Below are 23176 nucleotides of genomic sequence, written 5' to 3'. Positions count from 1 at the left end.
AAGCCCCATGTGTGGCCTGTCCTCGACCCCACAGTGAGGACTGGTGACGGAAGAGTGAGGGCACCAGCCAGATCCTGCCTCTCAACTGTGGCTTCATTAAAATACATAGACACATGCACACTCACACACACGCACACACCTGCACCTGCACATGCACACACAGGCACACACATGCACACACTCGCACGTGCACACATGCAAACACATGCAGACACACACCAGCACCTGCACATCCACACACTCGCACATGCACACACATGCACACACACACACACACCTGCGCATGCACACACACATGCACACGCATGCACCCCTTATATTCATGCCTTTATGGGCTCACAGTTGGTGCGAACTGTGAGCAGAAGGTTTGCAGGGGGCTAGATCCGGCTCTGGCCCTCCCTGGCTGTCACCTCCAGCAAGTGTCCTCCTTCTCTGTGGGACCCATTTCCCCACCTGCAGCGTGGGCACCCCGACAGCCTCTACCTCCTGGGCTTGCTTCTGGAGGATGAAAGCAGTCCCATGCCGAGTCCCTGGTGCAAGGGACAGCTCAGAAGGAGGTCACCATTGTTACTCTGCCCCTCTGAGGCTATTGTGGTCACCCTGTCCCACTGCCCTGGACTGGCTTGGGGGCCAGGCTGGCATGATCATGCTGCTCTAGGCTGGCAGGTGGAGCATTCCCAGCCCCGGTTCCAAGGTCCCCCGAGGCGCTGACAACACTTGGAGGGAGACCATGCAGGCTGGGCTTCCTGACCACCCAGACCCTTCAGGACCACCCCCCATCCCACCCCACCATGGATGTGGCAAAGGCCCTGCCTTGGCAAGCCTTCCCCAGACCCTCTGCTCTGCTGGAGCTCCAGAGCCTCCCAAACGGGGCCCCCAGTTCCTGCCATGAAGACCTGAGGTTGAGGCGGCCTTGGGAGGCCTTGGCATGATCTGGGGCCCCTTTGGGCCTGAGTGGCCACTAACTCCGTGGCTTCTTGTGTTAAATGTCATTCACATTTGTCACCCCATCGTGCCCCTAGTTCAACTCACACCAACTGCAACATGTTTCCAATGGGGGTCGCACTGCCCCAACTTCCTGAGACACTTATCTGACCCAGTCACTCTCCCTCTCAATCCTTCAATAGCTCCCTATTGCCTTCAGTCTCAATGCTGTCTCTGCATCCCAGGCAGCCACACAGCAGGGGCTCTGTACCCGTCTGCTGCCTTGGAGGGTGGGGAAGGGGCATCTGCCCCACATGTGGCCCCACCTGTCAGGTTTCCCCGATGCTCAGATGTGCACCAGCTCCCATGGGAGGGGAAAGGAGTGTGGGGGCGAGACTTTCAGCCTGTGCTCCCAGCAGCAGTGTTTCAAAAGAGTTTGTTTTCTTTCAAAACAGAATATATCGAGCGTCCGGCCGGCCAGTGGGTCTGGGGCCAGAGACCAGAGAAGTGCTGCAGGCACTGGGCATGCTGAGTGACATCACCATGGGCCGGTGCTGGCAGGGGCTGGGCCAGACCACAGGCAGCGGGTAGTGCAGAGCCCTCCCCGAGCTGGGCCAGGTCTGGCACAGGGGTCCCAACCCTAGTGGGTTCCCAGATAGGGGCTGAAGAGTCCCTGAGTCCCCTGAGCTCCCGGTGGACTCCACTGTCTCAGTGTGCCAGCCCAGTCTTCACTCCACCCACTGGGGTGCTCCTGGGCAGTGGGCAGACCTCCCGCTCTGTCCTCCTGGCCCAGCATGGAGGTCTTCGGGGGCGGGAGAACAGTGAGGTAGTCCCCCTTTACCTGCGGGTGCACTGTGCCTCGTCAATCAGTCTTCCAAGCAGCCTTTGAAACTGCTTCCCTCTCTACAGACGAGGAAACTGAGGCTCACAATGCTTACTGTACATGCTTAGAGTCCAGTGTTTCCTCTTCCCTCCCTCCCTTCCTTCCTCCCTCCTTCTTTCCTCCCTCCTTCCCTCCTTCCTTCCTCCCTCCTTCCCTCTCTCCTTCTTTCCTTCTATTCTTCCCTCCCTCCCTCCATCCATCTTTCTTCCCTCCCTTCCTTCCTCCCTCCTTTCCTTCCCTCTCTCTTCCCTCCCTCTTTCCCTCCTTTCTCGCTCCTTCCTTCCTTCTCTCCTCCCTCCCTCCCTCTTTCCTTCCTTTCTTCCTTCCATCCATCCTTTCCTCCTTCTCCTCTCCCTCCCTCCCTTCTTTCCTCCCTCCTTCTTTCCCTCCCTACTCCTCTCCCTCCCTCCTTCCTTCTCTTCATCCTCCCCCTCCCTCTTTCCTTCCTTTCTCTCCCATCCCATCCTATTGTACAATAATGTAATAATGCTTCGCTGGGCACGTGGCCTCCCAGATAAACACTGCATTTCCCAGACTCCCTTGCAACACATCCCAGCCATGAATAAGTTCTGATTGAGGCCACTCCAGCTGAAGCTCCATAAGCCCTTTTAAGCCTTGCCCTTAATGGCAAGAGGTGTCCCCTCCTCCCTCCCCATCTTGGACCCAAGATGGAAGTGACTTGCTGAGGATGGCGAGGGAGAGAGATAGAAGGAGCCAGGCCCCTGGCACTGTCAGGCCACCAATCAGCCCTGGGCTGCCTATCTCCCTTTTATGTGAGATCTTGACGCAGGGATTGAGCCCCTGTGTTTTTAGGTGTCTTTGTTGCAGCGGTGTAACTAACTCATGCAGAATTGCCCCAAGCTTCGATCTGGGGACTCACATCTTTTACCACCATGCGCTTCGGCCTCTTTATGTTTCATTTGGGCAGTTGGATCTCAAGGGGTCTCGCTGCCAGCAAAATGAACAAGCTGCAGGCTACCAGGGCACCACGGTTTGGTTGGCTCTGGGCTCTCAGCTCTCCATACCCAACCCAGGACCTGGCCCAGGGCAGGGGACCGGCAGAGTCTGAGAGTCCCAGAGCCTGGACCTGGGTGGGTGCTTTGGGAGGCACAGAATAAGGAGGGCGGCTAATGCATATCCAGTGCATTTGGGAAGGGTGCTGGGCTGGGCATGCCTCTGTGTGGTCTCCATCCATCTCTTGGGCACCTGCAAGGGGTTTGACCCAAGGCTAGGCACTTCCCACATGGTCCAGCATTCTTTACTTTTCTTTTTTTCTTTTTTGAGACAGAGTCTCGCTTTGTCACCCAGGCTCGAGTGCAGTGGCAGGATCTCGGCTCACTGCAACCTCCACCTCCTGGGTTCAAGTGATTCTCCTGCCTCACCCTCCCAAGTAGCTGGGATTACAGGTGCCCCCCACCATGCCTGGCTATTTTTTATTTTTTATGTTTTTAGTAGAGACAGGGTTTCACTATGTTGTACAGGCTGGTTTCGAACTCCTAATCTCAAGTGATTCACCCACAGCTTCATCGAGGTGGAATTCACGAACCAGCAGTCCACCCATGTGAAATGTGCAATTCAGTGGTCTTCAGTATATTCAGACTCGGGCATCCAACACCAGAATCAATGTTAGGATATTTTCATTCTCCTGGAAAGAAACTCCACACCTTCCAGCCATGCCCCACAACTTCCCCACCCCCCATTCATTCCCCAGCCCCAGTAACCACCCTTCTACTCTATCCCTCTACAGACTTGCCAACTCTGGGCATTTCATTAAATGGAATTCTACGACATTTAGTTTTGTTGTGACTGGCTTCTTTTACTTGGCCTAATGTTTTTGAGGTTCATGCATGTTTGCAGCATGGACCAGGAGTGCATTCCTTTTCAGGGCTGAATAATATTCCCTTGTGTGGCTAGACCACAGTTGGTTTCTCTGTGCGTCAGTTGCTGTGGACATTGGGTTGTTGCACTGTGGCTGCTGTGGATGGTGCTGCTGTGAGCTTGGCTGTGCAGGTTTTTGTGCAGACATGTTTTCTGTTCTCTTGAGCAGGTACCTGGGAGTGACTTGCTGGGCCCTGTGCTAATGCTGGTTAACCCTTTAGGTTCCTTGTTGCACTGGAACTATGCAGACTGTGAAGGCGGCCTGGGCTTCTGTCTGGCTCCAGCATCTGCAGCTGGCAGCCTTGGGCAAGTCCCAGCAGCTCAGATTCTGCCTTTGCTGTCAGTAGCACAGCAGGGGGCAAGCATGTGTGTGAATTTGCAGGGGGTCCTGTAATTCATAGCAGGCCCACTGGGGCTGCTCACCGAGCTCCATTCTCTCCCCCTGGCTGAGGCGGTCAGAGGGGATGAGACAGAGAGATGCATAAGGATCCACCCTCCCAGCCGACCTCCTGCTGCCCTGAAACCTGCTGCTGAATTTCTCTGGGCCCAGCCTGGGGCTTTGCACACCTGCCCACTAGCCCCTGACGACACCATCTCAACCCAAAGCTCCCTCCCCGGGCCTTGAGTTATCTGGGGAGGGGGGCGTCATAGAGCCCTCAACTCTCCCTCACACCCATGGCAGAGGCTGGGCCTGCCCTGGAGCCGATGAGGACCTTGCAAGGGGGTCTGCCACAGTCCTGGGGGGTTCCCTCCAAGGGAGGGACTGAGCCCCACCCATCCGTGACTCTGTCTTGACGTAGGCTCCTGCCCCAACCCCAGGTCACTGTCTCTTCTCCACGATTGCAAGTGACCTTAGCCCCGCTGCACCGTTGGAAGGGACGTCGGCCTGTGTGGGTGGCAGTTGGTATGTGGACTCAAGACCTGCGGCACCTCTCAAAGGCTCGCGTGGCCCCCGGACACCCCTGGTGGCCCTGCCCTGACCCCAGGCGTAACCTCACCTGGGCCCTCTGATTCAGCACCCACAGGGCCCCTGTGAAGCAGATGCTATCACCATTGCCCCTTCACAGATGAGGAAACTGAGGCACAGAGCAGGAAAGAAACTTTACCATGGTGACACTTGCGGCAATTCAGAGCCTGCTGTCACTCAGGGACCTCATCCGGCCTTCACTGCCCACAGCACTGCCCAGGGTCAGCACCAGTGCACCTTTGGGTGGGATGGGAAGCTGTGAAACCCAGAGAGGGACAGAAATGGGCCCAGGAAGCAGCCCAGGCCAGTCTGGGAGGTGGCTCTCCACCATCACCTTCTCTGATACTCAAGGTGAGGCTGTAGGGGTGGGTGGGAGTGGGGTCCCTGCATCTGGAGGGCAGGGTAGGATAAGCAGGGTCCCTACACCACCTTGTTCTTGCTCTGTGACCAGAAATGCTGCACATCCCTGAGAAACAGTTCTGTTCTCTATCAAATGGCAAAACCTATCATGGGAATGCTTGTTGTAAAGGCTACTAGTATTTACATATCAGGTATCAATAAGGATAATAAATTGTGAGCTTATTATTTGCTAGCCCTATGCTGAGTGTTTACTAATGATTGCTTCATTTAGCCTGAAATGTGAATTCAGATCAGATTTCAGAGCTGACATTCATAATTGCTACCTCCTCCCACAATAATCATTTAACAGCTGCCATTTACTGGGCTCTGGCTCTGGTAGGCTGCAGGCTGTGATTTCATGTGACTTCTTACTTGATCCTCATGACAACCCTCTGAGTAAGTACTGCTACCATAATCTCCACTTCACAGAAGAGGAAACTGCAGCTCAGCGAGGGTGAGTCACTTGCCCAAGGTCACACAGCTGGTCTGCAGCAGAGCTAGGATTTGAGTCGGGGTTGTGTGGCTGTAAGAGACATGCCTGTAGCCATTCTGCTCTGTGCTGCCTCCTAAAATGCCCAGCCTGTTGTCCTAAACTGGAAACAGCCCAGCTGTCCATCAGCAAGGGACTAGATCAATAGACTGCAGTATGTTCATGCAATGTGGTATCACCCAGTAATGAAAAGTCATGAACTATTTCTACATTTAACAGCATGGAGGCATCCCACAGATACTATGTTTTAAGAAAAGAAGCCAGATGTTTTAAAACACATATTGTGTGGTTCTGTTTATGTGATATTCAGGAATGGACAAAACTAACCAATGGTTAAATAAGTCAGAATGATGATTACTTGTGAAGTGAGTACACCCTTGGAGTGGGAATTCTGGAGGGACTAGAAATGATCCACCTATTGATCTAAGTGGTTGTGATTGTTCATTTTGTGGGCCAGCTAGGCTGGGCCACAGGATGCCAGATAGCCAGTGAGTGATTTCTCGGCGTGTCTATGAAGGTCTGGAGGAGACTGGCATTTGAATTCATGGGCTGAGTCAAGCAGATGGCCCTTCTCAGGGTGGGTGAACACCATCCAACCTATTGTGGGTCTGAATAGAACTAATAGATGGATGAAGGGTGAATTAACTCTGCCTGATGGCCTGAGCTGAGACATCAGTCTCTTTCTGTCAGCACTCATGGTTCTCAGGCCTTCAGATCTAGATTGGAATCAACACCATTGGTTCTCTGACTCTCAGGCCTTCAAACTACACCACTGGCTTTCCTGGGTCTCCAGCTTGCAGAGGGCAGCTTGTGGGACTTCTCAGCCTCCATAATCCTATGAACCAATAACTTACGGTAAATAAAGAAATACACACACATGCGCACACACACACACACGCACACACACACATATGCACACACGCACATCCACACACACAGGCACACACACACATCCATGCACACACACCACACACACACATCTCCTGTTGGTTCTATTTCTCTGGAAAACCCTGACTATTATAGCAGTGGTTATGTGGATGCACACATATGTATGAATCAATAGCCTGCTAAAACAAAGACATCTACATAATTCAGAGGATCTTAACAGAATGTAGAGTCTATATAATATGACATTAAGATTGTCTATGATACAATCCAAAATTATTTGACATACAAAGAAACAGGAACATGCAGCCCATTCTCAAAGGATAAAAAAATTAACAGATGAAAGCACCAAGATGACTCAGACATTGAAATTATCAGACAAAGAATTTAAAGCATCTACTACAACTCTACTCAATGAGATCAAGGAAATACATTTGAAATGAATAAGCAAATAAGAAATCCTGGCAGAGAAAGTATTAAAAGAGGATATTGGAATTTTAGAAATAACAAAGAAAATATTTGAAATGTTTAAAAATCACTGGATGGATCAATAGCAGAATGGAAATGAGAAAGGCAAAAGTCAGCAAACCCATAGATCAATAAAATGAGTCAATCAGAAGGACACAGAGGAAAAAAAGATTGAAGAAGGAAAGGAACAAAGAGCATCAGGAACCTGTGAAGCCATATCCAAAGCTCTTAAACATTATAACTAGTCCAGAAAGAGAGGAGAGTGAGATGGGAGCAGAAAAATCTTTGAAGACATGACTGAAAATCTTATATATTTAGTGTAAGACATAAGTTTACAGATTCAAGAAACTCAGAGAACCCCAAACAGGATAGAATCAAAGAAACCATGCATAGAGCAACTACATACACACAGGGAAATGCAGCCAAACAGCCAACAGATAAATTAATATGGAATACTATAAAATATTCAAATAATCCAAAAGCATGCAGAGAAAGGGGAATAAAGGAACCAAAAAAGAGAAAAGATCAGCATTAAATGTTAATGTTCTAAACACTCCAATGAAAAGGAAGAAATTGACAATATGGATTTTTAAAAGCAACACCCAATTATGTGCTGCCTACAAGAGATTTACTTTGAATACAAAAACACAAATAAGACAAAAGTAAATAAACTGAAAAGAATAAACACAAGATGCAAAGAATAAACACAAGATGTCAGGGTGGCTATAATGATATTAATTAATCAATATGAGACATTATTAATAATAATTACTCAATAAGATGTTAACTAATGTTAATAATTATGCATATTGATCAGTTAATTAATAATAATTACTTAATATTATATTATGAGCAATTATTTTTAATTACTCATATAGATTAATATTAATACTTATGTTGATATTAATATTAATAACTTTCAATACAGCAATATCAGAGATAAGGAGAGACATTTTACATAATAAAAGGAATGATTAGAAAGGCATAAAAGTGTAAATTTTGATTTGTCTAAAATATATAATATAGCTTCAAAATATATAAACAAAATTAATAAAGGGAAGAAATGCACACAAATCCCACTATCACAAAGAGAGATTTTAATACCCTTTCTCAGCAATTAAAAGAACAAATATATAAGAAATTAGTAAAATAATTAATAATAATTACTCAATATGATGTTAACTAATGTTAATAATTACACTTATTGATTAATTAATAATTACTCAATATATTAATATGAGTAATTATTTTTAATTACTTATTTAATTGAAATTAAATGGCAAAAACCGCAATTACTTTTGCACCAACCTAATATAAACATAACTATTCATCACCTTGATCTGACTGATAACTATAGCACACTATACCTAGCAACTGTATGTGGTACATTTCACCAAGAAAGACCATATGCTGGGCCAGAAAACAAGTCTCATTAATTTTAAAAGAATAGAAATCATGTAGGGTGTGTACTCTGACAACAACTGAACCTAATTAGAAATCAGTAATAGTAGGATGTCTAGCAAAACCCCAAATATCTATAAATGTTTCATGCGTCTACAAATGACTCATGAATTCAAGATGAAATCACGAGGGAAATCAGAAAATAATTTGAATTGAAAGACAATGAAAATACATCCTATCAAAATCTGTGGGATTCAGCCACAATAGTTGTTAGAGGGAAGCTCAGAACTTTAAATACTTACATTAGAAAGCAAGAGCAATCTAAAATCAATTACCTGAAGATCCACCTTGAGGAGTTAGAAAAGAGAAGAGCAAAGTAAAGCCAAATTAAGTGGAAGAAAGGAAAAAATAACAGTAAGAGCAGAAATAAATGAAATAGAAAACAGACAGACAAAAAAGAAGGAAAAAAAGCCAAAAGTTGATTATTTGAGATCAACAAAATTAATAAACTCTTAGCTAGACTGTTGAAGTAAAAACGAGAGAATACAAACTACCAGTGCAGAAACTGAAAGGGTATTTATTATTAACACAGATCCTACAGACTTTTAAGGGCTATCATAAACATCTTTATACCAAAACTTCAACAACTTAAATTAATTGGACAAATTTCTTGAGAAGTAAAACTTAAATTGATACAAGAGGAAACAGAATATCTGAATAGCACTACACCTGTTAAAGAAATCTCATTATTATGCTAAAGTTTTTTTTTACCAAAAACTTTTTAAAAAGGAAAATCCAGAGCTAGACTGTTTCATTGGTTAATTTGATCAAATATTCAAGGAAGAAATAAACTAATCTTAAGGAATTTTTTCAGAAAATGAAGGAAGAGGTAGCATCACCCAACTCATTTTATAAGGCCAGCATAACCCTAAAGAAGGCAGCAGCTGCTCAGGAAGGCAGCAGGGGCTGCACCTTCCATGGAGCCACCGGGAGCTGGGGGAACAAGCGGGAGCCCCACCCCTTCTGAGTTGGCTGAGGAGCTCCCTGAGTGCTCCTGCCACCACCCAAACTGTGGCTGCAGACCCAGGCCTCCAGTTCCACGGAGAAGGCAGGAGACCCACCCTCCTGGGTGAAGCTGCAGCCACCCAAGTCTGGCTTCCTGACTTCCCAGGCACCTGCTACCTGGCTTATCCCTTTTGTCGGTGCCTACTCTGATCTTGGAGCAAAGTCAGGGCCAAGCCCAGGCACCATGAACAGCAGTGGGAGGCAGACAGATTCCTGGGCAGAAGAGGACAGGTCCACTGGTGAGGCCCCCACATTCAGGCCAGGAAGGGCCTGAAGGCTAGGGACCAGGCTGCCTGTCCCATGCACCAGAGTGGGAGCTGGTGCCTTTTCTCAGCTGCCCATGGCTGCCCATGGCTGCCCATGGACCAATCGGTGTGCACTTCCTCCCCTGTGAGGCCCATAAAAGCCCCAGGCTCAGTCAGAGCTGAGCAGACAACAGGATGACCAGCTGCAGCTGGGAGCTACCCTGTTCAGGGACTCTCTCTGCTGAGAGCTGAACACTCAAGGGGATGACCTGCCTACAGAGAGGAGCTACCCACTGCGGGTCTCCTCTGAGCTGTCCTAACACTAAATAAAGCTCCTCTTCATCTTGCTCACCCTCTGCTTATCTGTGTATCTCAGTCCTCCTTAATGCAGGATAAAAACTCAGATAAACGTGCCACCAGCCATACAGAGGTTTCTGGCCAGAAAAGTGACACCCTGCAGATTCCATAACACTAATATAAAAACCTGGCAAAGACATTCAAAAACAGAAAATTGTAGACCAACATTCCTCATGAATATAGACACAAATATTCTTTAAAAATATTAGCAAAACAAATCTCATCATATATAAAAATAATATCAGAACTAAGTAAGGTTAAAGCCAGGAATACAAGGTCTGCCAAATGTTCAAAAATCAATCAATATGATTAATAATATTAACCAAATATAGGAGATAAGCCTTATGAATTTAAAAATACATATTAGAAAAGCATTCAATCAAATTTTATGCCCACTCATAGTAAAAAAAATTCCAGCAAACTAGTAATAGTAGGGAACATCCTCAAATGAACGAAGGTCATCTACAACAAAGCTACAGGCACTATTATGATGCTGAGTCTCACATTTTTTCCCCTTAAGGTCAAGGAAAAGGTAAAGGTGCCCACCTTCTGTAGCTATATCTGGTCAACATTGTACTGGCAATCCTAGTCATTGCAATAAGGAAAAAAAAAGAAAAGAAAAGGAAAGCTATAAAGTTACTAAAAATTGAAAAGGAAGAAATAAAACTGTTTCTATTGGCAGCTGCTATGAAAATTTACATAGAAAGTCTCAGGAAACCCATAAAATAACCATCACAACTATTAAGTGAGCTTAGCAAGATCACAAGATCCAAAGTTAATGTACCAAAATTAACCCCATTCTTATACAAATAGCAGCAAACAGTTAAAAAATAAAGAAAATTGGCCGGGCGCAGTGGCTCACGCCTGTAATCCCAGCACTCGGGAGGCTGAGGCGGGCAGATCATGAGGTCAGGAGATCAAGACCATCCTGGCTAACATGATGAAACCCTGTCTCTAGTAAAAATGCAAAAAATTAGCTGGGCGTGGTGGCACGTGCCTGTAGTCTCAGCTACTCAGGAGGCTGAGGCAGGAGAATCACTTGAACCTGGAAGGTGGAGGTTGCGGTGAGCCAAGATTGCGCCACCGCACTCCAGCCTGGGCAACAGAGCAAGACTCCATCTCAAACAAATGAATTAATTAATTAAAGAAAATTTAAAATTCTATTTAGGGTAGCACCAAAATAAATAAATAAATAAACTTCCACAAAAAAACTTAGGAATAATCTGACAAAAGACAACCAATACTCAACACCACAAATTATGAAACATTGCTGAGAGAAATTTAAGACCTAAATAAATTAAGACATATATCATTGTTCATAAACTGGAAGATTCAATATTAAGGTGGCAATTGTTCACACATTTACAGAGTCAACACAATCCTGATAAAAATTGTCAAGCTAATTCTAAAATTTATAGAGAAATGCAAAGACTTAAAATGATGAAAAAAATTATAGACAAGAAAACAAAGTTGGAGGATTTGTCTAATTTTAAGTCATACTTGAGAAGCTACAGGAATTGAGACAGCCTCGCATTGGTGGAAGGACAGACACACAGATCAATGGAATAACAGAATAGAGAATCCAGAAACTGCCTCACACACATACAGTCGATTTATTTTTGGCAGAAGTGCCATGGCAATTCAGTGGAGGGAACATAGAGTCTTTTCAAAAACTGGTTTCAATCAATTGGATTCCCAAATGAACAGCAATCCTCACTGAAAACTGTAAGTCTTCTAGGTGAAAATAGAGAAGAAAATATGTGTGACCTCAGGGTTGGCCCAGATTTCCTAGATAGACTACAAAAAGCACAAATCATGAATGCAAAAAGTTAATACATTGGTCTTTACCAAATTAATAACTCTTGCTCTTTGAAAGATGCCAGTAGGAAAATGAAAAGGTAAGTGTCAGACTGGGGAAAAGGCAAGTGTCGTGTTGGACTGGGAGATAACATTCATTACACAGATCAGATAAAGGACTCATATCCAGAACATATCAATAACCCTTACAGCTGAAGAAGGACAAGGCAGGCCAATAAAAATGGGTAAAAGATTTGCATTAATTCTCCACTGAAGAAGATAAACAAATGGTCACATGAAAAAATCTTCCATATCATCAGCCATTGTAGAAATATGGATTGAAATGACAATGAAAGATCACGATGCCCTTATTAGGATGATGAAAATTAAAAAGACAACACATATCATGTGCAGATGTGCATAGCAAACAACTAGAGCTCATATATACACTGCTGGGAGTTTGAAATGGCTCAGCCACTTTGGAAAAGTTTGACTGTTTCTTAGAAAGCTAAATAATATATACCTATCATCTGACCTAACCATTCCATTCGCAGGTATTTACTCAGGAGGCATGGAAACTATGTCCCTACCAAGAATTGTACATGAATGTTCATAGCAGCTTTATTCCTAATGGCCCCAAGCTGGCAACAACTCAAATGTCAATCAATGGGTGATTGATTGAATACTCAAACTGTAGTGTCTCCGTGGAATGGAAGACTACTCCGCAATGAAAAGCAATGATTGGCTGGGCGCGGTGGCTCAGGCCTGTAATCCCAGCACTTTGGGAGGCTGAGGCAGGTGGATCATGAGGTCAAGAGATCGAGACCAACCTGGCCAACATGGTGAAACCCTGTCTCTACTAAAAATACAAAAATTAGCTGGGCATGGTGGCGTGCACCTGTAGTCCCAGCTACTCAGGAAGCTGAGGCAGGAGAATCACTTGAACCCAGGAGGCGAAGGTTATGGTGAGCCGAGATTGTGCCACTGCACTCCATCCTGGGTGACAGAGTGAGACTCTATCTCAAAAAAAAAAAAAAAAAAAAAAAAAAAGGTAAAGAAAAGAGAAACAATGATTTGTTGATGCACACCACACCACGGATGAATTTCAAAGCACTTATGCTCAGAGAAAGAAACCAGATAAAAAATTAGAGTACATCCTTTGTGTTTCTATTTGTGCCGAATTCTGGAAAATGCAAACCAATCTATCATGAAAGAAAGCAGGCCCATGGTTGCCTGGGGACAAGCCTGGAGATGGGGGTGGACTACAGGGGCACAGGGAAAAGAAATGTGTGACGGGGGATCAGGGATGGCCTCACAACCTTGACAGTGTCAATGGCCCCATGTGGTTTACATACATCAAACTCGTGAAATTGCACACTTTAAGTATGCACAGTTTATTGTACTTTCATCATATCTCAGAAAAATTGAATTAAAAATTCATGAAGCTGTACACTTAAATTTCCTGTAGCTTATACTTTAATAAAAAAGTAAATAAAAATGTAAAATATATCTTTGACCCTGTCATCCTTGTCCCCCTGAGCCCTCTCTGAGCTCAGCACTTCTGCATGTGAGCATCCAAAGCCCCATTATACCAGTTTCTCCAGACTTCCTTAACCAAGTTCCACAGGCTGGTGATAGGGTTTGGCTCTGTGCCCCCGCCCAAATCTCATCTCAAATCATAATCCCCACTTGTCAAAGGAGGGACGTGGTGGGAGGCGATTGGATCATGGGGTGCTTTCCCCCAGGCTGTTCTCATGATAGTGAGTGAGTTCTCAGGAGATCTGATGGGTTAAAGGTGTGCCACGTCCCCACTCCTTGCTCTCCCTCCTGCCACCTTATGAAGAAGGTGCTTGCTTCCCCTTCACCTTCTGCCATGACTGTAAGTTTCCTGAGGCCTCTTCAGCCATGTGGAACTGTGAGTCAATTAAACCTCTTTTTCATAAATTACCCAGTCTCGGGTAGTTCTATATAGCAGTGCGAAAACGGACATTTATCATCCCACAGTTCTGCAGGCTAGAAATCTGACAAGGAGTGAGCAGGGCTGGTTCCCCCCAAATCCTGTCTTCATGGCCTGTGGATGGCATCTTCTCCCTGAGTCCTCCCATGGTTGTCTTTCCATACGCATCTCTGCATCCAAATCTCCCCTTTTTATCAGGTCAACAGCCATGTTGGATTGAGGCCCACCCTGATAACGTCACTTTGACTTGATTACGCTATAAAGACCCTATCTCCATATAAGGTCACACTCTGAGGTACTGGGGGTCAGGACTCCAACATACACCTTTGGGAGGGGGTATAATTCAACTGTAAACACCATCCCTTCCAGAACACCCTCATCTCTTCCCTGGCCATTCTCTCCCACCCCTTCTCAGCTCACTGACTCTCTCATCACAAAGCATTTCTGGGCCCCCAGGCCAGGCCTGCCCCTGTCAGAGGACTCATAGAACCTCCAGCTTGTCACACGAGGTGCAGCGGTCACTTCTGGTCTCACTTTGTCCTCTCCTGCTAGTCCTCGATGAAGACCAAGATCCAGCTGCTGCCTCAGGGGTTTGCTGGCAGAGTCCACAGTGAATGAATGAAGGAAGGAATGGGTCAGGGAATGAGTGAGTTGCTGTGGCCCTGCTGCACCTCCGTCTCCTCCGCATCTCAGAGGTCACGGGGATCGGACACAGAAATCACGCTGCTTCACCGCCTGCCGGCTGCACGTTCTGGCCCAAAGGGGTCTCGGGAAGCCCAAAGCTGCTGTCTGCACCTTCTTGGCTTTACATTTAGCAGCAATGCTGAGGGAGGCCACAGCCAGAGGGGCCTGGATTCCTGAGATGCTGGTACCTTGGTCCTTTCACATGGGAAGAACACGGGGCACACCAGGAAGAGTCCCCAGGGATTGATGGCAGCACAGGCAGTGGAGTGGGCCAAGGGTGGGAGCTGCTTAACCTGGCAGGGTACTTGGCCTCTTAGAGCCTCAGTTTCCCTACTTGTAACACAGGGATGATAGTGGCCCCAAGGCACAGGGCTGCTAGGAAGCCTAGACTGTGTGTGACAGCTGGCATCAAGCTTGGCACCAGGACCTTCCTCACTCAGGGATGGAGGCTGGTCAGCAGGAGATGCTTGGGAGTCCCCATCCCATGACCAGGTAACAAATGGGTCCCTCAGAGCTGACCAGCAGGGAGTTGATTCCACACAGCAGAATTGCATGCCACCTCCAAGTTTGCAAATCAACCCAACAATGATAAGTGGCAAAATGGAAGATCGAAGAGTGTGCCGTGGGTATGGCGATGGATGATTACAATTCTTTGGCTGTTTAGGATTCATTCTACCTTTAGGAAGGAAGTATTCCCTCTGGTTCAGTGCAAATGCGCCGTGTCAGATGGGGCTGGCTGGTATGTGGTTCCCTCCTTGTGCACTGGCAGCTTAGCCCAGAATGCGCAACTGCTTCCTCAGAGGTGCTGTCAGCGGACTTTCTGGTCCCCAGGGAGCTGAGGGGCCTCCGGCTCAGGCCACCTCAAGGCTCAGCCCTTCAGACAGAAGCACGCGGCCCTGGCTGTTTTGCAGACGATGGCATGAGGCTGGGGGCCTGGGACCCAGCCCCTGTCCTGTGAAAGCAGCAGGTCTTTCACGCCCACTCTGGCTCCTTTCTGACTCTTTCCTGGCTCGCTTTGCCTGGACTTAGCCTCTGACCCCATCATATGAACAGCAATGCCTGGGAATATTGGAGCAGGCTGTCCTCTCTGTTCCCTTCTGTGTCCCTGCCACCATCCCCAGGAAAGAACCCACTGCCTGGGCGGGGACCCCCAGGCCTGCAGGACTGGCCTTTGCCTGTGTCTGGCCTTGCCCCATCGTGCACGGCCTGCCCCTTGTTTCTCCAGGGCACAGGACTCTCTTGCTGCCTTTGCACCTGCTGATCCCCCAAACACCTCCCCTCCCTTCTTGTGAATTTATGCCCATCTTCCAGGTGGGTATTCCTTTGCTCAGGCTACTGTAACAAAGCACTGCAGGCTGGATGGCCTCAACAACAGATGTTTATCATCTCACAGTCTCAGAGGCTGGAAGTCCAAGATCAAGGTATGGGCAGGGTCAGTTCCCCCAAGGCCTCTCTCTTTGGCTTATCCCCGTGCCTCTCTCTGTGACCACATTTCCCCTCATTACAAGGCCACCCATCAGATTGGATTAGAGCCCACCCAAACGACTTCACTTTGACTTAACTACCTCTGTAAAGACCCTATCTGCATATAAGGTCACATTCTGAGGTGTTGGGGTTAGAACTACAACAAATGAATTTAGGGAGACATAATTCAATCTATAACAATGCCTAAGCCCCAGTGTCATTTCCCCAGAGCCTCCAGAACAGATCAGATGCAGGCACCACTCCCTTCCACTCCCCTGTCGTGGCCTCGCATCCCTCAAGGGCATACGTTCCCTGTCTGCTCCACCCCCACTTCCGGAGGCAAGTGTCCATCTGCCTTATAACCTCCGCCGACCCCATGCCTGTCACCAGCAGGTGCTCAACACATATTTGTCAAAAGACACATAACCAAGATTTTGGCCGGGCGTAGTGGCTCACGCCTGTAATCCCAGCACTTTGGGAGGCTGAGACGGGTGGATCATGAGGTTAGGAGATCGAGACCATCCTGGCTAACACGGTGAAACCCCGTCTCTAATAAAAAACAAAAAATTAGCCGGGCGTGGTGGCGGGTGCCTGTAGTCCCAGCTACTTGGGAGGCTGAGGCAGGAGAATGCCATGAACCCGGGAGGCAGAGCTTGCAGTGAGCCAAGATCGTGCCACTGCACTCCAGCCTGGGCAACAGAGCAAGACTCTGTCTCAAAAAAAAAAAAAAAAAAAGACACATAACCCTGTTGGAGCCATGCCCCTTGCGGTCCAGTCTCAGTGCTGTGGTTAAACACACACACACACAGAGTCTATGCATCAGCTAGGAATGCTTTCAATAACAAACAACAGATACCCCAACTAACCTTGCCATAAACAAATAGGAGTTTATTTTTTTCTCACACTCTGAGTCTGGAAGCAGGTGCTGCTGCTGTGGGTCCAGGGGCTGGCATCTCCGTGGTTCTCTTGACTGTCATTCCCACTGGTGCTTCACGGCTGCAAGGTGGCTGCCACAGCTCTGGGCATTGCCTCCACCTTCAAGGTAGGAAGGAAGAGGAAGGACAGTTTCAGGTATGTGTATCTTCTTTTTTAATCAGGAAAGAAAAAACAAAAACAAAACAAAACAAACAAACAAAAAACCTTTCCCAGAAGTTCCCAAAAGACTTGTGGGAAACGGACAGAATGGGTTACATGGCCACCCCCAGTGGTTGAAGAAGCTGCAAACAGCAGCGCTTGGCTCTTCTGTCCTCTGTAATGGGAGGTACTGGGCCTAAAAGAGTTGGGAATGTGATCGAGTTCACCAGCCAGCGGTGTGTCCCCTCCAGAACCTCAAAACTAATTTCAGAATGTCTCCAGCTATTACCTTGCACCTCTCAAACCCCATAATGGGCACACAGGGCCTATACCAATGTACTCCAGCAACAGGCATGGCCCTCACTAGCCTGCTTCCTGCTCTCCTTCTCCAACGTGCTTCTCCATCCCAAATCTGCATCCCAAAAGGCCCAAAACACCAAGGGGCAAGGACAGAAACTTCCTCCAGGAGGTGGGAGGAAGAAGAAGAGACCGAGGGTAAAGCCAGACCCCTGCAGGGGGAGGCAGAGGGAAGTCTGGGAGCCCTCTGCCATCTCAGTCCTAAGACAAATGAATGGGCAAATGCATAAATGAAACTTTACTGCATTTGTGCCTCAAAAAAAATCTGTGCACTCAATGAAAAGACCAGCTGGGGTGTGCTAGAAACAGAGCACCTGCTGCCGGGGTCTCATCCTGGCTCGTGGCGTGGCTTCAGGTGGCTCCTTCTCTGGGCCTCCATTTCCTTATCCGAGGATGGGGTAAAGGTTGGGTCATGGTTTCCTCATGGAGCATTGTCTCTGTGCCCACAGCATGTTAAACAGGAAAGAGTTATGTATGCACAGGTGTGTCCTACATATGGAGGGGAGGCTGTCATTGGAATCCCCTCACAGCCAATGCTGGGAAGAGCCCAAAGATGGCTGCCCTGAACTGAGAGCTTTCAGGGTGACTTTCTGACCTGCAGGGGAAGCCCTTCTAGGATGCTGGGCCATCTGTGCTTCCAGAAGTTTCCTTTGAAGCCATGAGAGATGTAGGCTCTGGGCAGGAGGCAGAGGCTCTAGGGAGCTTAGCTATGCAGCAGGACCCATCTTTCCACAGAGGGGACACTGTCGTCATCTCCTCCCATGTACCAGGCACTGTGTTCAACATGCCCCCAGTTTGGAGGAGCCCATCTGATATGGTTTGGCTCTGTGTCCCCACCCAGATCTCACCTTGAATTGTCATAATCCCCACATGTCGTGGGAGGGACCCAGTGGGAGGTCACTGATTCATGGGTTTTTTTCCCATGCTGTTCTCGTGATAATGAGTAAGTCACATGAGATCTGATGGTTTTTTAAAGGGGAGTTCCCCTGCAGACACTCTCTTGTCAGCCGCCATGTAAAATGTGCCTTTGCTCTTCCTTCGCCTTCTGCCATGATTATGAGACCTCCCCAGCCATGTGGAACTGTGAGTCCAGTAAACCTCTTTCCTTTATAAATTACCCAGTCTCAGGTCTGCCTTTACTAGCAGCATGAGAGCAGACTAATACGCCATCCTCTTCCCTAATGCCCTGTGGAGTCACACACTGGCCCATGGCCCTACACTTCATCCTTGCACCCCATGGAGAATGGCTTATTTTATAGGGGTGTCCACCTTTGGCTTGTATTTCTAGGTAGAGTTCAGTAAATTGATTAAAACACTCTGGGTCTCTTCCACTTTCAGCCGTGTTGGGGTAACTAGTGCTGGACGGGCCATCCCACTGCAAACACACATGATTGAACTGGACAGCATGTTTGAGACAACTCTGGGCGGGCAGTGAACAGCAAGCAGTGCATGACTTGATGCTGAGAGGCAGGGCGCTCAGGAGCCAGCCATGCCACCCCTGGAGACCATCTCCCCCCATGGCTCAGCAGGCAGGAGGCCTCACAGAGCAGAGTGGTCCCACTGAGCTCAAGAGGCAGAGACCAGAGTTCACAGTCCAGAAGCTTCTGGGAGCTATGAGGCAGGGCATCAGAGAGGCTCTGCTGTGGGGGAGGCAGGCGCAGAGGTACCATCAGGGGTCCCCCAGCCAGGAGTCCTCGGCTGAGTCCTGGGGAGGATGAGGCTACAGGAGGGGTGCCCAGCGTGGCTGCTGCAGAGTTAGGGAGGGAAGGAGATGCTGTGGTTCCAGTAAAGCGTGGGGTCAAGGGGGCTGCAGCCACCCAGTGTGCAGAGGTCTCCAGCACCTGGGCATCCAGCTGGGATGAAAGACACTCAGGAGCAAGACCCGCTTCAGACTCACCCCATCACAACCTATGTCAAGCCCTGATGAGATCTGTGGGGGAAGAGGGTGGGTGGTGGAGTCCAACCACGTCAGAGAGGCTTGGGGAGCACCCTGGGCTCCCACAAACCCACGCGGCAAAGTATAAAGCCAAGTACGTGCAAGTTCAGGGTGAGCAGAAAAATCCCAACGCTCCTCAGAGGGGGAAAAGGAATAGAGGTTCCACCACACATCACCCACAAGGTGGGTGCACAACAAAAACATTCCTAGGTATTAAAAGAAAAAACACAGATGGGAAAATGTGACCCACAGTAGAGAAGAAAGCAGTCAAGAAAAACACCCCAAGATAATTCATGGGCCAATAAGGAAATCACAAGGACACAGAGAGTATTCACCACAAAATTTAAAAAATTGATCCATTGACTTCATCAAAATTAAAACCCTCTGCACTTCAAAAAACACGGCAAAATCACAGACTGTGAGAGAATATTTACAACGCACAGCTCCAACAAAAGTTTGCATTCAGAATATTTAAAGGACTCTCGGCTGGGCGTGGTGGCTCACACCTGTAATCCCAGCACTTTGGGAGGTCGAGGAGGGTGGATCACCTGAGATCAGGAGTTTGAGACCAGCCTGGCCAACATGGCAAAACCCTGTCTCTACTAAAAATACAAAACAAATTAGCCCAGCAGGGTGGCGGGTGCCTGTAGTCCCAGCTACTCATCAGGAGGCTGAGGCAGGAGAATCACTTGAACCCGGGAGGTAGAGGTTGCAGTGAGCCGAGATCGCGCCATTGCACTCCAGCCTGGGCAACAGAGTAAGACTCTGTCTCAAAAAAAAAAAAAAAAAAAAAAAAAAAAAAGGCTGGGCGCGGTGGCTCACACCTGTAATCCCAGCACTTTGGGAGGCCAAGGCGGGCAGATCACAGGGTCAGAAGTTCGAGACCAGCCTGGTCAATATGGTAAAAAACCCTGTCTCTAATAAAAATACAAAAATTAGCTGGGCATGGTGGTGGGCGCCTGTAGTCCCAGCTACTCAGGAGGCTGAGGCAGGAGAATCGCTTGAACCCAGGAGGCAGAGGTTGCAGTGAGCTGAGATCGTGCCACTGAGCACACTACGCACAGCCTCACGCAGTCACTGGGGTCGTGCTGAGCCAGGAGGACAAAGGAGAGCCCAGGCTGCATAGAACTCTGTTTGTACAGCATTCTGTGACACATAAATTCACACAGTAGCTACAGGAAGAAGCTCTGGTGTTACCTGCAGTGGGGAGTGGCTGACTGATTGCAAAAGAGGCGTGCAGAAACTTTCTGAAAGTGTTTTATCTCTTGGTAAAAGTGACAGTCTCAAAAAAAAAAAAGGATGTCTAAAGGACTCTCATAACACAATCACAGATAACTCAGTAAATATATGGACAATGGGTGTGAATGTATGCTTCACAGAAGGAAATACCTAACTGGCTAATAAACTCATGAAAAGGTGCTCATCAGCATTGGTAATCATGGAAATACAGATTAAACCCAGTGAGATGCCACTCCATGCCCACTAAAGCACATCAGATGAGATGGGCCACCCCCGGCACTGGCAAGGATGGAGAACATCTGAGTTGTCATGCACTGACGGTGGCCATGGAAAGGTGTACAGCCATTCTGCAGTAATTTGGCAGTTTCTTACAAAGTTAAATATACTTTTACCATACAACCCACTCCTAGGTGCTTTCCCAAGAGAAATAGCATCTGCCCACGAAAAGAGTCATACACAAATATTTATAGCAGCAGGAAGTGGAAATAAGCCCACTGCTTACCACTGCTCATCACTGTGTGAGTGGATAAACACCATGAAAAGGGGCAGGCTGCAGATACGTACAGCCTCATGCAGTCACTGGGGCCATGCTGAGCCAGGTGGACAAAGAGCCCGGGCTGCATAGAACTCTGTTTGTACAGCATTCTGTGACACGTAAATTCACACAGTAGCTACAGGAAGCAGCTCTGTTGTTACCTGAAGTGGGGAGTGGCTGACTGATTGCAAAGAGGCGTGCAGAAACTTTCTGAAAGTGTTTTATCTCTTGGTAAAAGTGGCAGTGACCCAACTGTGTACATTTGTCAACTCACTGAATTGCAGGCTTAAATTAGTGAATTTTATTGTATACAAATTATACCTCCGCAAAGTAGATTTTAAAAAATCAGTGTGTTGGAAGGCCGAGGCAGGTGGATCACCTGAGGTTAGGAGTTCAAGACCAGCCTGACCAACATAGAGAATCCCCGTCTTTACTAAAAATACAAAAAATTAGCTGGGTGTGGTGGCAGGTGCCTATAATCCCAGCTACTCAGGAGGCTGAGGCAGGAGAATCACTTGAACCTGGGAGGCAGAGGTTGCAGTGAGCCAAGATCACACCATTGCACTCTAGCCTGGGCAACAAAGCAAGACTCCATCTCAAAATAAAAATAAAATAATAAATAAATAAATAAAAATAAAAATAAGTCATTGTGGCCGGGCACAGTGGCTCACACATGTAATCGCAGCACTTTGGGAGGCCAAGGCAGGAGGATTGTTTGAGCCCAGAGGTTGAGACCAGCCTGGGCAGCATTGTCAAACTCCATCTCTACAAAAAATACAAAAATTAGCTGGGTGTGGTGGCACATGCCTGTGGTCCCAGCTACTTGGAAGGCTGAGGTGGGAGGATCGCTTGAGCCTGGGAGGTCAAGGCTGCAGTGAGCTGAGATCGCACGCCTGGACTCCAGCCTGGGTGACAGAGTGAGACCCTGTCTCACAAAGAAAGATCATTGAGCTTCACTCTTAAAAGATGTACAATGTATTGAACGTAAATTGTTCCTCTGTAAAAACTGATATTTTTTTTAAAGTCCTAGGCATGGGGCTTGATATCTTGCCTTCCCTCTCTGCCCCAGGCTAGATAACGTAACATATAGCTAAGTTCGTGTGCCCAAATCTAGACATCCCTCAGTGGGCTTGGCCAGGGCTGGATTCCAGGTACGAGTAGACAGGGCCATCATTAGCCCAGCATGACTCAGCATTCGGAAGCTACATTGCCTGGCAGTTTTGCTGTGGTATAAACCACCGCACCTCTCAGAGGTGTATAGCAGTGAAGGTTTATGTCCCCTGCACTTTGCATGGGAGCCACGAGTCTGCCCACAGCTTGCGTGCCAGGGCTCATGCTGAAGGCACAGCTCCTGGTGGCACATGCTCTTCTCACGTCAACCTCAATGGCACTTAGCGCTTGCACTCAGACCAAGGGTCAATGTTGTCCTCTCATCTTCCATTGACCAAAGCAAGCAGGTGGTACTCCCCAGCAGCACAGGGACAGGAATGGAGGCGCTTTCTGCAGGCGGCACTGCCAAGCCACATGGCGTTGGTGGGGACATCCCATTCTCTTAAGGGAGGAGACAGTCATTGTTGGGAAAAGAAACACAATCTGCCACATCTTCCAATCAGCTTTGGCAAGTCATGACACTGACACACTTTGCTCTTTTCTCTGCGTAGCTCCCGTGTCACTCCCTCCATGGGGTGGGACAGAGCAAGGTAGAAGAGTGAGGAGCTGTCCCCGTCCCCTGCTTGTGAACCCCAAGGCTGCATTCTATCGCACAGGTTCTCCGACTGCATTCCTAGCCCTGGGTCCTTGCAGGCAGGAAGGGGGTGGCCCTGTGTGGGGAAGGTGGGGAGTCCACCGGTCCCAGCAGCCGTGTTTCCATCACCTCTGTGTGTTAGGAGATTCCTCACCAGATTCTGATGAAAAGGAAGTCTCTGCCACTGAAAGACACATTTACAAACAGCTGTATGGTCTCATTCAGTTTCCGCAGCCCTGAGGAGCAGGAACTATCATGTCCATCTCCTGGATGAAGAGCTCCAGAGAGATCAAATGACTCATCCAGGGGTGCCCCACTGGCATTGAATGGGGGGTCAAAATGTCAACCCAGGTGTGTCCACCGAGGCTCTTTGCCCCACATCAAGGCATCCCTGGGCACAGGCCACGCTGTGGGGCACTGACTGCCA

General features: G+C 47.9%; 1 long non-coding RNA gene across 1 annotated transcript in view, besides 4 other annotated features; it reads right to left on the bottom strand.

Moving 5' to 3' along the window:
- The window catches only part of LOC105369370 (uncharacterized), a 35372-nt gene extending 14103 nt beyond the window's left edge, over nucleotides 1-21269 (bottom strand). The window contains exons 1-2 of the long non-coding RNA XR_950269.4: nucleotides 20973-21269; nucleotides 16731-16899 (exon numbers count right to left, since the gene is read on the bottom strand). This is a non-coding gene — a long non-coding RNA (uncharacterized LOC105369370). The remainder of the gene's footprint in view (nucleotides 1-16730; nucleotides 16900-20972) is intronic.
- Nucleotides 14983-15915: an enhancer, noted in NCBI's record as "H3K4me1 hESC enhancer chr11:69157262-69158194 (GRCh37/hg19 assembly coordinates)". NCBI's record gives its function as "activates a minimal SCP1, AML or CMV promoter by ChIP-STARR-seq in primed H9 embryonic stem cells {active_cell/tissue: H9 hESC(primed)}" and the evidence as "EXISTENCE:reporter gene assay evidence [ECO:0000049][PMID:30033119]".
- Nucleotides 18563-19062: an enhancer, noted in NCBI's record as "H3K4me1 hESC enhancer chr11:69154115-69154614 (GRCh37/hg19 assembly coordinates)". NCBI's record gives its function as "activates a minimal SCP1, AML or CMV promoter by ChIP-STARR-seq in naive H9 embryonic stem cells {active_cell/tissue: H9 hESC(naive)}" and the evidence as "EXISTENCE:reporter gene assay evidence [ECO:0000049][PMID:30033119]".
- Nucleotides 19063-19564: an enhancer, noted in NCBI's record as "H3K4me1 hESC enhancer chr11:69153613-69154114 (GRCh37/hg19 assembly coordinates)". NCBI's record gives its function as "activates a minimal SCP1, AML or CMV promoter by ChIP-STARR-seq in naive H9 embryonic stem cells {active_cell/tissue: H9 hESC(naive)}" and the evidence as "EXISTENCE:reporter gene assay evidence [ECO:0000049][PMID:30033119]".
- Nucleotides 20780-21009: an enhancer, noted in NCBI's record as "active region_5158". NCBI's record gives its function as "activates an Ori minimal core promoter by ATAC-STARR-seq in GM12878 lymphoblastoid cells {active_cell/tissue: GM12878}" and the evidence as "EXISTENCE:reporter gene assay evidence [ECO:0000049][PMID:35858748]".
- Nucleotides 21270-23176: the final 1907 nt, after the last annotated feature.

This window comes from Homo sapiens, chromosome 11 (assembly GCF_000001405.40).
Source record: "Homo sapiens chromosome 11, GRCh38.p14 Primary Assembly".
Classification (NCBI taxonomy): domain Eukaryota; kingdom Metazoa; phylum Chordata; class Mammalia; order Primates; family Hominidae; genus Homo; species Homo sapiens.
The sequence above is the reverse complement of the archived record's forward strand: the minus strand, read 5'-3'. Positions and strand labels throughout refer to the sequence as shown.